This window comes from Homo sapiens, chromosome 10 (assembly GCF_000001405.40).
Source record: "Homo sapiens chromosome 10, GRCh38.p14 Primary Assembly".
In the NCBI taxonomy this organism is placed as follows: Eukaryota; Metazoa; Chordata; class Mammalia; order Primates; family Hominidae; genus Homo; species Homo sapiens.
The window spans coordinates 131,306,086-131,321,999 of NC_000010.11; the positions used below are offsets into that span (position 1 = coordinate 131,306,086).

At 49.0% G+C, this 15,914-nt stretch overlaps 1 protein-coding gene and 1 long non-coding RNA gene across 4 annotated transcripts in view, besides 1 other annotated feature; one reads left to right on the plus strand and one right to left on the minus strand.

Moving 5' to 3' along the window:
* Positions 1-5,636, minus strand: part of TCERG1L (transcription elongation regulator 1 like) — a 219,331-nt gene extending 213,695 nt beyond the window's left edge. For all 3 annotated transcript variants that reach the window (NM_174937.4, XM_047424966.1, XM_047424967.1), the window contains exons 1-3: positions 5,209-5,636; positions 3,068-3,214; positions 2,126-2,306 (exon numbers count right to left, since the gene is read on the minus strand). In NM_174937.4, the coding sequence (NP_777597.2) occupies positions 2,126-2,306; positions 3,068-3,214; positions 5,209-5,550 (670 nt within the window). In that variant the 5' untranslated portion in view covers positions 5,551-5,636. The remainder of the gene's footprint in view (positions 1-2,125; positions 2,307-3,067; positions 3,215-5,208) is intronic.
* A 134-nt stretch (positions 5,637-5,770) lies between these two features.
* LOC101927461 (uncharacterized) lies at positions 5,771-9,693 on the plus strand. Its single transcript, XR_242763.6, has 3 exons — positions 5,771-6,189; positions 8,049-8,194; positions 8,571-9,693. It is a non-coding gene; the product is annotated as an uncharacterized LOC101927461 (long non-coding RNA).
* Positions 14,589-15,307: an enhancer, noted in NCBI's record as "H3K4me1 hESC enhancer chr10:133118937-133119655 (GRCh37/hg19 assembly coordinates)". NCBI's record gives its function as "activates a minimal SCP1, AML or CMV promoter by ChIP-STARR-seq in naive H9 embryonic stem cells {active_cell/tissue: H9 hESC(naive)}" and the evidence as "EXISTENCE:reporter gene assay evidence [ECO:0000049][PMID:30033119]".

Sequence of the window (15,914 nt, forward strand, 5' to 3'; positions counted from 1 at the left end):
CAATTTTTAACTTACTTGGAGCTTACCCTACCTACCACCTTCACTTGTCCCCGTTCTTATCCCAGTTCTCTGTTAAACAGTTAGTAACACATAAATAACCCCTTAGATGCTTTCTTTGGCCTAAGAGACATTCAATATGTGCATGCCAAAGTTGGGTAAATTCAAAGAATTCTGAAATTTATCAAAAAAGTAAAGTTTTCATGAAGCAACTCAGAAATTACCATCTCAAAACAAATACATTTGATTATTATTAAATTACCTTTGGTGTCAGGTACATTTCTCCCCAAAACATAATTAAAATTGTAGGTGTTATATTCATATATGATCCGTAAATTAAAAAAAAGGGCAGAGAAGAGAAAAATCTAAGCTTTGTTGAATAGTAGACTAGGTTAGAATGAAAGGTTGTTCTGCTATTTATCATGTTTATAAGAAATATTATTTTATTTTGTTCTTAAAAATAGATCCATTAATGGATACCCCATTCTCCATGATGTGCTTATTTCACATTGCATGCCTGTGTCAAAACATCTCACGTACCCCACAAATATATACACCTACTATGTACCCACAAAAAATTATAATAATTTGTAAAAATTTAAAAAATAGATACATCCAAAAATCAAAGAAGGTAAAATCAATACAAATATGTTTCTAATGAAGTATTGCATATTTGCCACACAATAGTAAGTAAATGATGTCCATAAGATGGAAAATCTATGAGAGGTGGCCATAAGCCTCTCCAACTAAAAGATATTTAGCACATTTATATATGAATTTCCTAAGAAGAAGGTGAAGGCATGGTGGAAAATGTCTATATTATACTCAGGGGTGAACTGAGAGAAGGGAAGTTCACATAAAGACTTTGTAGGAACAGGTGAGCTGATTTCACCATTTTTTAAACTACATTTGCTGGTTATTTTCATGACAGTTATTGCCAGTGCGTTAGGAAATTAAAATAATACCTTTTCATATACCAAAAGAACCCTCCAAAGTCATGTCATACTCATATAACACATGCCACTGAATCATCTTTTATCATCATTAAATTAAATAGGAAACATGATCATCTTAGTGTAAAATGTTTATAAATGTGTGCATGTACCATGCTCACTCAGATTTCAATTAATCCCTAATGCATAATTACAAGGACAAGTTGCAGTCAGAAATCATTTAGGCCTATGAGAAACACAAATAGTTTAGTTGTTCTTCCTGACTTATTACTAAACAAGATTCATAGCAAATTGGAATAAATGTGTAGGCAAACAGAGAACAAAATAAATATATCTCCTAAATCAGCACTGCATTATTCACAAGAACATCTTATTACTAAATTTTAGAGACACATATTGAGACAAGCTTGGTAGGTAGGAAATTACAAGAAGGTAATGTAATTCTGAAGCCATAAAATATTCCATAATGGAAGGTGTTGCACGACAATTTTGGCACGGGCAGCATTTGCTTTTATAAAATGATCCACATGTTAAGGTGATTTTAAAAATCAATTTAAAAATTCATAAGATGATTATATTCCCCTGTTACTATATAGGTTTATTATACAATCTTTCATCTAGGCATTGTTTCATGGGAGTCTGTTCCAGGACAAATGTTCTTTCAGGTCACTAGACTCCAAAGATAGAACAAAATCCATCTTTCAAAGAGGGCATTTTATAGTCCATCTCACTATCACCCGCAATGTGAAGGCAAAATTCAGAGATCACACATGTTCCTGCGTCCTACAGACCAGCAAACATTATTCCTTGCACGTCGCCACAGAGAGGCAACATTTTTTAAAGAGTAGACTGATCAATTAGTGCCCCTATTAAGAGCTATCAGCAGGAAACCTGGTCCAATCCTAAAAACAGAGCACTGCAAATACAATTCTGTGAAAACCCCTTCAGCCATCTCTTCAACATCAGATCTCATATCCACCCACCCCAGAAAAAAATAGTGGATAAGCTATCCAAGACTAGTTTTTTTTAAAAAAGCTTCATGCTTGTGAAAAGGAATTATATTTTACCAAGATAATTGTTTCATTAAAATGATGAGTATGGTTTTCATATCTAAAACTAATTTATGATTGAAGCAAAAATGAAACAGACATTGTCAATGTTATTTGGGCACCAACCTGGGATGGGCTGAGGTGCTAACACCACCGTGGGGAGCGGCCTGGAGGCAGGAGCCGGCCTGGACAGAGACACAGCTACTTGATTTGCCAGCAAACGAGGCTTTTCATGCCCATGGAAAAACCTTGACTCCTCAGGATGTATCCACGTTGAGTCCAGAGCAAAGGAATTATTAAAAAAGATCTGTCGAAAAATAATGCAAGCATAACACTGAAGGCAAGGTGCATGATAAAAGCTGAGCATGACCATGAAAATATTTGTGTTGCCTTACGTTGATCCAACATTGAACATTCTATTATTGGGGACTCTATAAAACCATCATTCTAAAACTTAAAGAAGTTCCACAGGGCTTCAATACCGATCACCATCTAGCTAATGTCTTCTGGGCTGGCCTTCAACTATTGACTTGGTCACTTCAGCCCAGCAGTTCAGTTCACTGATTGAAGAATCACCCCAATGAGATAATGACTAAGCTGTATGACAAGTCAATACTTTACTTCTTTAGTTTCCTTGTGAACAAAATGTAGTCAGTAAATTTGAACCCGAAAGCCAAAACAAACCATTAGAAAGATGAAAACTTAAAGCATCATATGAAGAAAAACTGACTTTTAAAACTTCAACTGGTATTGTGTAATGTTCAAGTCTAGATTTTTGATCAATGGATACAAATTTAAAAACAAAAAAATTTTAAAAAAGACTCTGATTCAAAAATTGGAAATTTTACATTGCCCTGTGGAATCCAAATATCCTAAACTAAAACAAAATGCCCCCCACCAGCTGATATTTTTGAACAAATCAATCTAATCCTGAAATGATTTATTTCTATACCTAGATGGCCAATTTATGGCAACAAGAAAATACATGGGTATTTTTGTTGTTATGTCGATGTTCGACAACTTAATCATTAAAAGCCCCTTATCCAATTAAATCACTTGCGTTTTTACCTTACAGTTAGGAATCCTTTTGTCTATCCAACTTTTCCCAATAGGGGTTGCAAGAGCAGAAGGGCAGAGATGTGGGAAGACGGGCACCAGCTCCACTGTGGAAGAGGGGGGCAGTCCTAGGGACGGAGAATGGCCACCAAACAGCCACTGCAAGCCAAGCAAGAAAAGACAGCTGCATTAGCCTGAATCCATCCACTCGACTTCATGCCAAAACATGCTGGAATAACTGCTTTGAAAAGGGAATTTCAAAATGTATGTATTTGATTATCAGATAAATTTCCTCGAGAAAAACTATAAGTATGTACCAATCAAAGAAAAAATTATAGAAGTTTTCATATCTGAATCATCACAAAGCATTACCAACATTGCATTCTTCAATACTGAAAAAGAACTTCTAAGCACAAAACCACAAGCACGCAGTAAGAAATGGGTTTCTGCTCTGAGATAATGAGAAATCACCATGAAGAAGAGAAATGCTGGGTATTCCTTTTCTAATTCTTAAATTATTTTTATAGGCAGGCTTAGGGCTATATTTTATAATATTCCTTTCAGCATTGCATTTTGTATTAATTACTTTTGTCGTTTTACAAATAACTAATACTTTCAAAATGAAAATATCTAGGAAGTTAAGATTCCAAGTTTCACCAATACAAGGTTCACCAATACAAATAGATTCTATGGCAAAAAAAAAAAAAAAAAAAAAAAAACTAAGCATCTTCTAAGTTGAAGATCTCAATACACAGAATAAAACATCAGTCATGGAAAGGGGCTGGTAATTCAGGGCACCGTCTCTCTAATTAAAATAACTGAGACCTCATAAGGCACTAATAAAATGCATTGCTCAATGACATGGAACGTTTCAGTACCTATTGTTTTAAAATCGTAAAAGCATTTGTGATGTTCCTGTTACATGAAAATGTTCTTCTGGTTGTACATATTCTTACTTTACAGAAGCTGGGTAGCACAAAAATATTTAAAAGATTAATGCTAAGGTTTTTTAAATTTTCTTTTAAATTTATATAAGTGAAAAAATGCAGTTTTTTAAAGCAGAATTTAAAAAATGTAGTTCCTTGACATTATATACCTCTAGTGGCAGCACTCTGATATAACACCCCTCCAAAATACGGCAAAAACTACCAACGTTTCTTGAATAAAATCCAAAATAAACTGCATCACACATAAAAATACAATATCCAGTGCTGCATATGTGATGTATCATTAAGTCTAAAGACCAATTTAGCAGGAGTTTAACAACATCTTTTAGAAAAGCTCACAAGATAATATTGGAATTAAATTAATCAAATGGTGTATTCTAACATAACACCCGTTTGAATATGCTAATGAGGTCAATCCTTGGAATAAAATGCACGCTATTCCCTGATTTAAATGCATCTGCATAGTTAGCTGACAATGAATCTTGCCCAAACCAGCCCGCCTAGCTCTGCTGCACCATTTATCAAAGGTTCAGTCACTTTTTCTTTTTAATCCCATGTCTTAAAAGCCAAACTCTAGTTCTAAAGTGCAGTGTGGCATTAGCGAATGTGGTGGACTCCGGCAGGCCTGGGGCAGGGGAATCTCCGGTAACATCCCTCAGTACCGAAGGCAGGATTTCCCGGCCACTTCCGTCGGTTGGAATTCTCTTAAGCATTGCCCTGAGTCTATTTTCAAATGAAAGGGGGAAAAACCCAAACCAGATTAGAATCTGAAACAGCTGAAACAGCTATCGATTTCCAGCTTGCTTTCAAGTCTGGCAGAGACTGTGAAAGTCCTAACTTCTCCGCGATGTCAGCCACGGCCCGCGGCGGTCACGGAGCCACTTCAGCACCTCGCGATGGACAGTGACCCCCGGCGTGGCGCGAGTTCCCTGCGGTCCCCACGCGGGCCTGGGCGGCGGGTCCCTCCACGGCTCCGTCCAGACACCCGGAGGCACCTGCCAAAGCTGCGGAGGTGGACGACCGGGCGTCCAAGCACGAACTTTCTCGCCGAGGCACGGCTGCCGGGCTCCGTCCTGAGGGTTTGGGGCGGCGAGGACCGCCGGGGAGGAGGGCGCGCGAGCCGGAGGCCAGAGCCGGGCCGGGCAGGGCGCGCCCAGGAGCAGGGGAGACGGCGACCCGGGCCGAGGCGGGACGGGGACACGTTACCTGCCCGTGGAGCGCGGGGAAGGGGTGCGCGGCGGCGGCGGCGGCGGAGTCTGGCGCAGAGGGCAGCGGCAGCAGCGGGAGCACCGGCTCGCTCGGGGCCGGCCAGCCGGGGAGACCGGGGAGCAGCGGGGCCGCGGGCGGCGGGGCCGAGGCGAGCAGCACCGGGGGAACCACGACCCCCGCGCTGAGCCGGAGCAGCCCGGCCGAGCCCGGCACCATCCAGACCCAGGGCGGCGGCGGCGGCGGCTCTGCGTCCATCGGCCAGAGGAGAGGCTGCCGCCGCCGGGGCTGCTGCTGCTGCAGCTGCCGCCGCCGCCGCTGGAACCTGGCGCCCGCCTGCATCCTACATCCCCGCGCTGACGGCGGCGGCGGGGGCGGCGGGCGCCCGAGATGCTGGGCCGGCGGCGGCGCGGCTCCGGAGCGAACTCACTTGGCTCCGCGGCGCGGCCGCTCGCTCCGCCCCTGCCCCGCGCGGGAAGCTCCTCCTCCTCCCGCCCGCGCCGCCGCCGCCCCCGGACCCGGCCCCCGCCCCGGTCCCCGCCCGCCCGCGCCCCTCCCCGCCGGACCCCGCCCCGCCCTCGCGCTCCCCGGCCCTGGCCGGGGTCTCCTCCCCGCTGCGCCCCTGGACCCGGGCGGCCGCGGAGGACGTGGGTGGGAGAGGGCCGAGGGCGCGCCCGGCTGGGCTCCCGCCGATGCCGGCCCCCTGGTGGCCTCTGGCCCTCTGGGACCCAGCGCACCGCGAGGGAGGCTCCGGGCTCCGCACTCAAGGGCAAGCGGAAGCCGAGGTGGCGGCGCCGGAGCCAGGCATGTCCCGCTGCCCAGCGCGGGGCTGAGGGCGCAGACGGGGACCGCGCGAGCCGCTCTCTACCTGGCCTCCTCGGAGTCCAGGGCGCGGAGGGTACTGGGCTGCGGATCCGGCGCAGGCGGCCCCGGACGCTGCTAGGCGCGGGCGGATTTCTGTTGCACAAATGGGCCAAACAGGTTCGTAAGGCCCCCGCGGGTCCCCTGGCCCGGAAGTTGAGCCGCGGGTGCCTGGTCTGAAGTTCCGCGCCCCACAGTGGCCCGCGGGCCTCGGCGGCTCCTGCCCTACGCCCTCCAAGGCACCAGGCAGGTGGCCCCAGGGCCTTTGCCCACGACACCCCCTGGGTGGGGCAGGACCACCCCTCTGTGAATTCGTCCTGGATGCCCCCAGGCACAGTCTGTACTCCTCCCTCCCCCAGCACACGCGGCCTCTGACGCTGCACGCCGAGCTTCCTGGGACCCAGGACGAACCGGGCTCCAAGGACCCTCGCTCCGCCCGGACCACACGCAGGCAGCGCCGGCCGAGCCGAGCCTGGGTCCGCACTGGCCACGCGCAGCCACCGCCAGACGGCGCTAGCCCTCCCCCGCTGTAGACCCTGCTTCGGAGGCCGCCAGCCTCCTCCCCATCCCGGGTCCACAGCTTCAGTGCAGCCCCTGGCGACGCGCGCTGACAGCTGGGCAGAGACTTCCGTGCGCTGTAAACCCCTTAGGTCGCTAAACCCAGGAAACCCAAGCACAGCTAATGCCAGCGCGAGACCAGTGTTGTTAGAGGCATTTGAAGGGTCTTTCTGGATGCAAAAGGCAGCATTATGATCCATGCATTTAAGAACTTGCATGAAAAACCCTCCCTGACCTGGGTGGGAGAGCAGGCACCCACCCACCCAGCGGCACTGACACGCCTGGTACTCCAAACCCGTGTTCGCATCACCTCCCACCTGTCCACTGCCAACCTCCTGAGATGGCCTAAAGCACCCGAGTGCTTTTAATTTGCGTCTAGGGTTGTTTCCTCATTATCCTGATTTGCTTAATTTCCTCTTGGCCTGGCCTGATTTCTTTTAGATCTGGGCATATGCTGATTTACATAGCTGGCGCCTCCATATTTTCCTCCACGAAAACCAGTTTTCAATTAGCAAGTTTATCTCTCTCTTTGATGCAAAAGTACTGGCATTTTTTTTATTCACCTAAAATCAGAAAGCTCTGCACATTAGAAGGCTGTTACTATTCACTTACACCCTTAATTTATGTGCATATATTAGTATGTGCACATGTGTTATAAATGTGTTAGTTTAATGGTCAGAGCCAGATCAGGATATTGGGGAGGCGTCTCCAGGCAGGCTCACATGCCCCTGCCACCCCCCACCTCCCCCACCGCATAGTCCCTTTTGCACAGGAGATTCTCCTTCCTTCTGCTTGGAGGCAGAGACAGAAGGCCAGGGGTGCTCGTGCCTGGCTTGCATGCTGTTCTCTGCAAAAGCAGGGTTTTGCGTGTGTGGCCCCCAGGTTCCTGGGAAGGTAGGGTTGGCCACAGTCTGTGGGAGCTGTAGCACTCCTTTGGGGAATCCCAGCCCCATCCCCACTGTCCTAGAAAGGGTTCTGCTGAAGTCCGTTTTTGCCAGCACCCCTCCGGGCTTCCTGATGCTCTGAGCTCAGGACCCCTTGAGCCACTACTTGGCTCTGAAGAAGAGCTGGAAAGTCGAAAGCAGCTCTTGACTCAACCACAAAGCGGCCTAAACTCTTGCTATTTCCTGCCACAAGCTTGACTCTCCTTTTGTATGACAATGCTTGGGAGCCCTTTTCTGTACCATTCTGTGTGCTAAATTATGGGAAAACAGCCCTCAACGACGCAGGCACGGCCATTTCCACTAATCGTTGCTAGGGCCAAGGACCCAGCACAGGGCTTCTCCCCCTCCTCCTGGCTCTCATTTCTGTCAGATTCTTTTCAAGGTTTGCCTCTCATCCCGTTTAACCCGGGAACCTTCTACACCCTCATGGATAGGAGAAGCCCCCTCATAGATACACTCATTTCAATGATTGTTTAGAAGGACCGCCTCCATGAACCGGTTCTGCAAATGTCATTTGTACATCTTGAGGATGGTTGAAAGAGCGAAGGCAAAGAAGATGCAAAGAAGACAGCTGTCACACAAACAAGCAGGATGCCACCTTCTTCCTGGGGACCAGAAGCCAGGTGAATGTCTAGCTTTGAGCTGGGACTCTCTGCCAGAGAGATGTGTGCTGGCAGGCACATCTCCCTCCCTGTGAGTGCCCCCAGAGGTCAGCCCTGGGCAGACAGGTGGCAGGCACCCCATAAACTCGCCCTTTGTTTCCCTGTAAAAATCAGTGAGAAATTTGCTTTATAAAGCATCTTAGGTACAGTCTAGTCTCCAGCTCTCCTATCCAATAAAAACAACCTTAAGTCTTTCCATGTTATTTGGGCAAAACCAGCAGAAATTTCCTGCTAAGCTGAGACAGGATATCACCTAGGAAGAGGAGATCCGCAGCAGGGAAAACGTGTGAATTACCTACATGTGCTAATGAGTTCCCGATTGTTTATTACCTTTCAGGAAAAAATCATGGGGAAGGTTTCAGAGACATCAGTGGAATAAGATTTTGAAGCCCATAGAATATTTTTTTCTTTTTGGAAGTTATTTTATTTTGTTTTTCTAAGTAAAACCTAATAGAATCCCAAAATGGGAGAGATGAAAACATTTCCTTCCAGCCCTGCAGAGTTAAAGTAAACAGCAGGGAAACAGGAGGGAGGTCTAGGCCCTGCATATCACCTCGGAGGTTCCCTGCACCACCCACCGCCCACGCTGCCAGAACTTCTTTCCAAAGCAATTGCCAATCAGACCAACTCCTTTCTGAACACTCGCCAGCTGCGCGATGATGAGGCCCTGAATGAAAGCCGTGCCAGCGAGGACCCAGAGAAGGAATCAGCAGTGTGACACCTGACTCAGTGCAGGGTGAGGAGCAGGAGGGTGTGAGAGTGGCTCCCCCTGTTCTGTGAGACTGGGGAGAGCCTGGAAAGTCTGTGCTCAGAGATGAGGAGCCCTCTGGGATGCACCATGGGCCAAGAGGTTGGCGAAGACGTGCTGACCTGGAGGGCTCCAAGGTCACCTGGAAAGACTTATCCTCTTCACAATTGAAAACTTCAGCCAGGAGTTCAGGAGCAAGGTCTTGGATGGAGCCACAGAACTGAAATTAACACAAAAATCGAGAGTGGCAGCTGTCCGTAGTGATTGTGATCAAAGATGTGGGTGGGATCGCCCAAGGCAAGCACAGAGTGGGAAGAGGAGAGGCCACTCATGGAATCAAGTGACGGGAAGTGAGGCTCCCAGCGAAAGACAGAGCGAGGTACACTGGGCCCACAGGCCGCCTGGGCAGCCAGGAGCATGCTTGTCTGATAAAGGCTGTTATTACTGTTATTTTTGTTATCAGTGTGTTACTGTAGCATATCTGGAAAATACTGCGGAGCATTATGAGTCAGAACCCCTCAGGGAGAAGCAGTGCTAACCTTTCGGTGACCTCTGTACAATCATTTTTTCTCCTCACTTCTCTCTCTCTCTAACGTGTATACGTGTGTATGTGTGTGTGTGTGTGTGTGTAGTATGAATAATATATTGCATCTTGTAATACAGTATTACATTTTATATTAAATTGCATTTTCTAATAAATAGCTTTAATGCAGCCTGTACTATATGTAACCTTAAATCTTATTTTTCACCCAGTATCGCAACATAAGCATTTCCCCACATTATTTAAAAATCTTAGAAGAACCCACTTATCAATAGCAGAGCAAATACCCCATGGAGGACAGATGGAGGTTCAGGTCGGGGCACCCTGTCGTGTGAATTTGCATCCACTGTGCTGACTTTCTGCAACTGTCGAAGGACCACACGTGTGAAAAGAGCCACCCAGAAGCTGGTGCAGAGCAGGTGCTTAGTGCACATCGCTCCCCCCAAGCCTTCACCAAGGCAGATGAGTAGTTTGTGGCCTGTTTGTTTAAACAATGTGTACCTGTGTTCATAATTGAGAGACAGGGACCCCCACATGGAGTCAGGCAGGAAAAAGGCAGCTGCGGAGAGCCCCTCGCCTGTTTGGCCTGTGCCTCTGCCTACCTGGTTTGTACCCTCCGAGTCCTGGGACTCCCTGGCCTCCACGCACTCACTGTTTTCCTTCCAGGGCAGCTACAGGCCTGGAGCCAGGAGCCCCCTGGCCTCGCGTGTGGCGTTCAGGTCCACTTTGGCTATGTATCTTCATAAGCATCTTTATGTTTAGAAATGCATGTTCCCCGGCCCTCAGGAATCCCTTCCTCTGAAGCAGCTCTCCAGCCTTTCTGGGGCCCAGCCCATGTGTGCACGGAGCAGCCCATGTTGGCTGAGGGACAGTGAGCTCCATGGAGCCCGCTTCCCAGCGCCCTGTCCCTCTGCCAGCCTGAGGCTCCCCGCACAGTCGCTGCCTGCTGCCTGGTGCAGCCCTCGCTGGTCTGGCCCTCAGGCTCTGGGTAGCACTGCTGCCTACACAGACCCAGTGGACGCAGGGCTCCTGGGTCCCTGCCTGCTCATGATGCTGCTGCCCAAACCCTGGTGACATTTCTGAACACATTTCTTCCACCTCCCCTGACAAACATACCTGAAAGAGGCACCAAACTTCCTTCAGTCTTCAGCACTCAGAAATGCGATTACAGAACAGCCCCGCTCTGGATTTCCTCACGTCTCACTTTCCCCGTGGAGGGCTCAGGCACCAGCAGCCGCCAGCCCCAAAATGTCCCCCTTCCCCTCTGCCCCAGCATCGAGGTCCTCTTGAGGCCTGACCCCCTTCATGAGGCAACTCGCCTAGGCCCTCCGCTTCCTTCTGTGGTCCAGGATGCTGGCCACAGACTCACCATGGTGGGTTGACTGTGTCCTCCTCCTCCAAACAAACAAACAAACAAACAAAACTGTCTACCCTATAACTGTGTTTGAAAAAATGGACTTTGCAGCTATAGTTAAGACAAGGATCTTGAAATGAGAACAGGCTGGTTACCAGCATATCCAGGGATACATTTAATGTTAACAATTTATTTTTGAATATGTTAGAATATTTATTTTGTAGTATAAAAATTAACTTCATAATCAAAGGCTGGTGATATAAATAATAAAATATCTATATGATAAAATACTCTCTGCCATGAAAGTATTGTTACAGAAGAATATTAATTGAAGTGAAAATAATTACATATTCTATTTTTAAGTAAAAAAGTTAATCAACCTACCCGTCTACCTATCTATAGATCATCTGTGAGACATACAAGAAATGTCCCAAATCATGCAGTGGGCAGAGGTTGCATGGACTGTGATAAAACCCCAGGCCTGGGCTGTGGCTCCCAGGATGCTCAGGTCCAGATTGAGCCCCTGGTGGGAACAAAGCTCCTCTCTTTACCAAGCCCTCCACCCTCCATGCCCCTATTCTCTCATCCCCCACCTCCCACCCTCCACTCTCCAATCGCCGCTTTTCTTCCCACTGCCTGCCCTCCCATCCTTCATCCTCCATAAGATGCTTCCCAAGGCCCTCACTGTGCCAGGGTCCTGCCACACATGTGCCCCTCTGTCTGGTTCGGTGGAGAGTCCCTGGATGGCAAGAACCATGTGTTCTTCCTTCTTCTCTTCCACTGCACGCTGTAAGAAGTTAATAAATGCTTAAGGAAGGACACAGAAGAACCCTCGTGCTGTAGGGAAGACCCAGGCCGGGATCCCTGGGAAGCTCATGCCTGAACCCCATGGATGAATCCAAGAGGAAACTGCCTTATGCCCACATCCACCCAACAGAAGTGCAGCGAGGCTTTGCAGGTGAGCTCTGTAGGGGTTTCCTAGCCAAGGGGAGGACGGGGTCCAGCCAGGCCACTTGCCCAGCCACGCCCAGTATAGGGATGTGCCCACCTAGAGGGCACCTTTGTGAGAGTCACATCAAGGCAGCCTGGGGATGGATCCTAGCAAAGCCCAGCCCTTGCCCACTCCCTCATTTGTTCTGCTTCTTAGACCTGGGAATACCTGGGAGGGCAGGGAGGTAGAAGGGAGAGGGAAGAGGAGAAGGAAGGGCAAAAGCCTGTGGGGAGGGGGCAGGAAGGTCAGAGACTGAAGGACAAGCTCCTGGCTCTGAGGGGGACACCCTGAGCTTGCCCCCCTCACCCATGACTGCTTCCTGTGCCCTTTACTACCCCACTACTGCCTGGCAGCATCCGGCTGCTAGAAGAGGGGACGGGGGTCTTTAATCTTATCCGAAGATGACTTACAAGACATAAAAGGAGGAGAAAGGACGCAGCGTGGTGCGGTGCATTCTGACAGCCATGCAATTCCTCTGCCTCCTGCTCACTTCACACATATGGTGGTATGATTTGTGGGGTTTGGTGACGTGAAATCATTTGCATTTTCTCTACAAACCTTGTGCAAACAACTAGAAAGCTACACTGATTCGTGTTAAGCAGGCATTTACCAGTCAGAAAACACACAAACTTCCCATTTTGACACAAACGTCTCTACTCCCATGTAGTAGCTTCTGGTGCAGGAGCCTGCAGATCCCGTGCGGATGAAGCCACTGTGTTAGCCCTGCTCCCATCTGTCCCGCTGCAAGGTGCACCTGCCTGATTTCTTATCTGGAGCTAAGATGGCGATGCGGCTCCCTGCCTCCAGGTTCCATCACTGTGTGGGCATGTCACACCCGGACACCTAAGAGGGGCTGCAATTGGGAAGCAGGTGACAACAAACCCATTGCTTGGAAATAATTCAAGAAGAAAAGTGGCCTTGTCCGACTTGGGGTTACTGTCCATGATCGAGTGTGTTTTTAACATAGTTTCACTGTTTGGGGGCAAAACTAGCAGCACAAGGCCCCCCGTGGCCAAGGAGCAGCCTGCTGTGCCTGCTCTGAGCAGGTGGAAGCTTTGGCAGAACGCGCTCTGCAGTGTCTGCTTCTCTCTGGAAGCCAATCAGCCTCCTCTGCACATGGATTCCATTCTGCTCGGAGACTGTTATCACCCTACAGCCCCCAAACAGTGGAGAGGCAGATTCCCACCAGGCTCAAATTAGCAAATCTCCAATGCACAGGGTCTGAATTCACGACCGAACCCCAAACACATTTCTCTAGAGGCACCAGAAGAATGAGAGTGGTCTGCACATTTCTGGTAGCTCAGCTTCTGCAGCCTGTGCTTGAGCTGATCAGACTTCTAAAGATATTCCCACACCTCCCATTCTGCCAGTGACATCTAAGCTAGCAGTGCCCGTGGTGCAGCCTGGCTGTACAATAGGATTATCAATGCCCCAATTCGGCCCACAGTGTGTGCTGCGGATGGGAGCTTAGAGCACAAAGAATAAGAGTGGAAGAGGTATTCCTTCAGCAGACCCAGCTATCGACAGGCCTCATCAGGCCAGGGTGAAGCCCTCCCTCTGTGTGTGCAGGAGTCCCCAAGAGCTTGGTTTAACATTTGGTCATGATATGCGCAGATGAAGGGCCATGCGGCTCGTGGTCATTAGACATGCACACAGAAGCCAGATATTATCCTAAGCTATTACACACATCACTTCACTAAATCCATCCCAAAGTGCCATGAAGACGGTATGTTCCTGTTCCTGTTTAAAGGATGAGAAACCGAGGCAAAGAGAAATTTGGCAATCTGCCCAGGACTCCGAGGCTGATCCTTAGTGGGGGCTGGGATTCAGACTCAAGCAGCCTCCCACAGCCCAGGCTTTCTAGGAAAGGAGGCCAAAGGATCAGAGAGTAGCTGAGGTGGTGGGGACACCTGGTGACCGAGGACATATCCGTACTAGCCCTCTGCACAGGCTCCCACTCTTCCCTTCTCTTTGGAATCATGTCTGTGACTGTGGAGCTGCACATATTCCCAAGAGGTGGCAACTCTGGACGCAGCAATCCTAGTCCCTTTAAACCCCAATCTCTACATCTCTACTCTCACTAGTCAATTTTGTCTCAACAAAAAAAAGAGGAGACTAAGTATGTTCTCTTCACCGTCGATTGTCTTAATATGTTTCACCTTGATAAAATAGTCTTAGGGTAAGGAAAAAATAGAATTTCATAGAAGATAGTCTATTTTTTCTTTCCTGAAGAGTTAACTTAAATAATTCTGTGCATTCAGGGAATTCTGCCTCTTAACCTTTCCTTTGACTCTTCCTGCTCATTAATAAATACATTGAGATATGCTTGCCTTGGGACCAGTCCCTGGGGCATCTGACTTCTGACCTTTTTCCATGTTCAGAATTAGATGGGGCAAGAGTTTTGATTATCTAAGGAGCTAAGAGGTAAAATAGAAATACGCCCATGAGACTGTGGGGCCTGAGAGAGAATAGGGTTTCACGGGGGTCTGGGAGGGCAGCGGGGCCACCTCAAGCTGAATCACCTGCTCTGTGGCTTCTGTGAAACCAGACAGGGTGGGAAGGACTCCAGCAAAGAGCCAGACCCCTCCCTGCACAAGAGCCAGCCCATAAGACGTCCTTACACCATTGAGGGAAGATTCCCAGTGGCTCCAACTTTCAAGCCCTCAAGCAGATCATAAGGATCTGCCTCTCCTATGAGCCGGGAGTCCATGGGCCAGGTCCAGGGTGTGTCAGCCTTGACCACCTCCCTGGGGCCTTAGGAGAGAACACTTTTCCTTGGCACAGTCAGAGAAAAAGGCCAAAAAAAAAAGAAAGAAAAGAAAAGAAAAATGTAAAATGTAAAATGTCCAGGGCAGGGAAGAGAGTGAAGCCTGTTTCACCCCATGCTTTTTATCCTGAGAGAACAGTTCCTTTCACCCAACCAGACACAGCCTCATGCATCCCAGAGCCGAGCCCCAGGCTGGGACTGAGGCTGGCAGCTGCCACAGGCCTCAGCTTTGTGGGCCAGAGTGCTGCACACCGGATTGAAGCCCACCCACAGGCAAGGGAGCTGCAGGAGCTTCAGGACCCTTGGCTTCTCAACAAACCCCTGCTGCTGCTCCGAGGGGCTGGCCTGGGGCACCCAAGGCCACTCAGACAGCTGAGGTGGGGGCCAGGATCCTGGGCCCCTGGGCCCAGTGCAGTGCTCTTCCTTCTATCAGCAAGACGAGGACCAGTCACTGCTGGACAAACTGGTTTTGGAAAGAGAGGGCACCCTTGTGGACTATCACATATAAAGGTCCTGTCCCTGCCAGAGCCAGCCAGAGCCGCCTGGGGTGAGTCCACAAGGAGTGCAGCGTGGGGGCTGCAGCCTCTTCCCAGCAGGTCCCAGCACCCGCCTTTCTGCAAGTCGGCCTGCTCGCATTTGGGAAAGCGAAACACTCATAGGAAGCGACAGCCACACCGCATCTCAATAAAGAGGCGGGAGGGGAAAGAAAGCCTTCCTGTTATGCACCTTCTCCCCAAAGCCTTCTGACTAAACACAGGGAATGAAGAGAGGGAGAGAGCCTGCTCCTGGGAGGCTCCTCTGCCCTCAGGGCAGCCTGAAAGCAGCCCCGCAGGGCTGAGCAGAACCGAGTTTTCTGATTTTTAGCAATAACCTGCTCACTGCCTGCATTCCAGGCACCAGACACGGCGCCTTGTGTAGCTCACCCTGGCCATCTCAGGGCCCAGGCAGCCTTGGAGGAAAGTGGGCTGCAGTAGTCAAGGAAGTTAACTGGGGCCTGAAACTCCTGCCTCAGCTACACAAAGCTGGTTTATGTATATTACCAACAAACCAAGTGTACTTTAGTGCAAGAAACATTATTTGAGATTAAAGAGGGCAGCACATAATAAAATAACAGGAAGATGTAAGCGTTCTAATCGTTCATGTACCTAACAATAGAACCTTAAAATATATGAAATGAATATCAGCAGAATTTTTTTTAAAGTAGACAAATTAATCAATTTTCCTGGCGGGTTTGAATTCCAGAGTCCGATGTCCCACGGCTCTGCCGCCCCTTCCCTGCC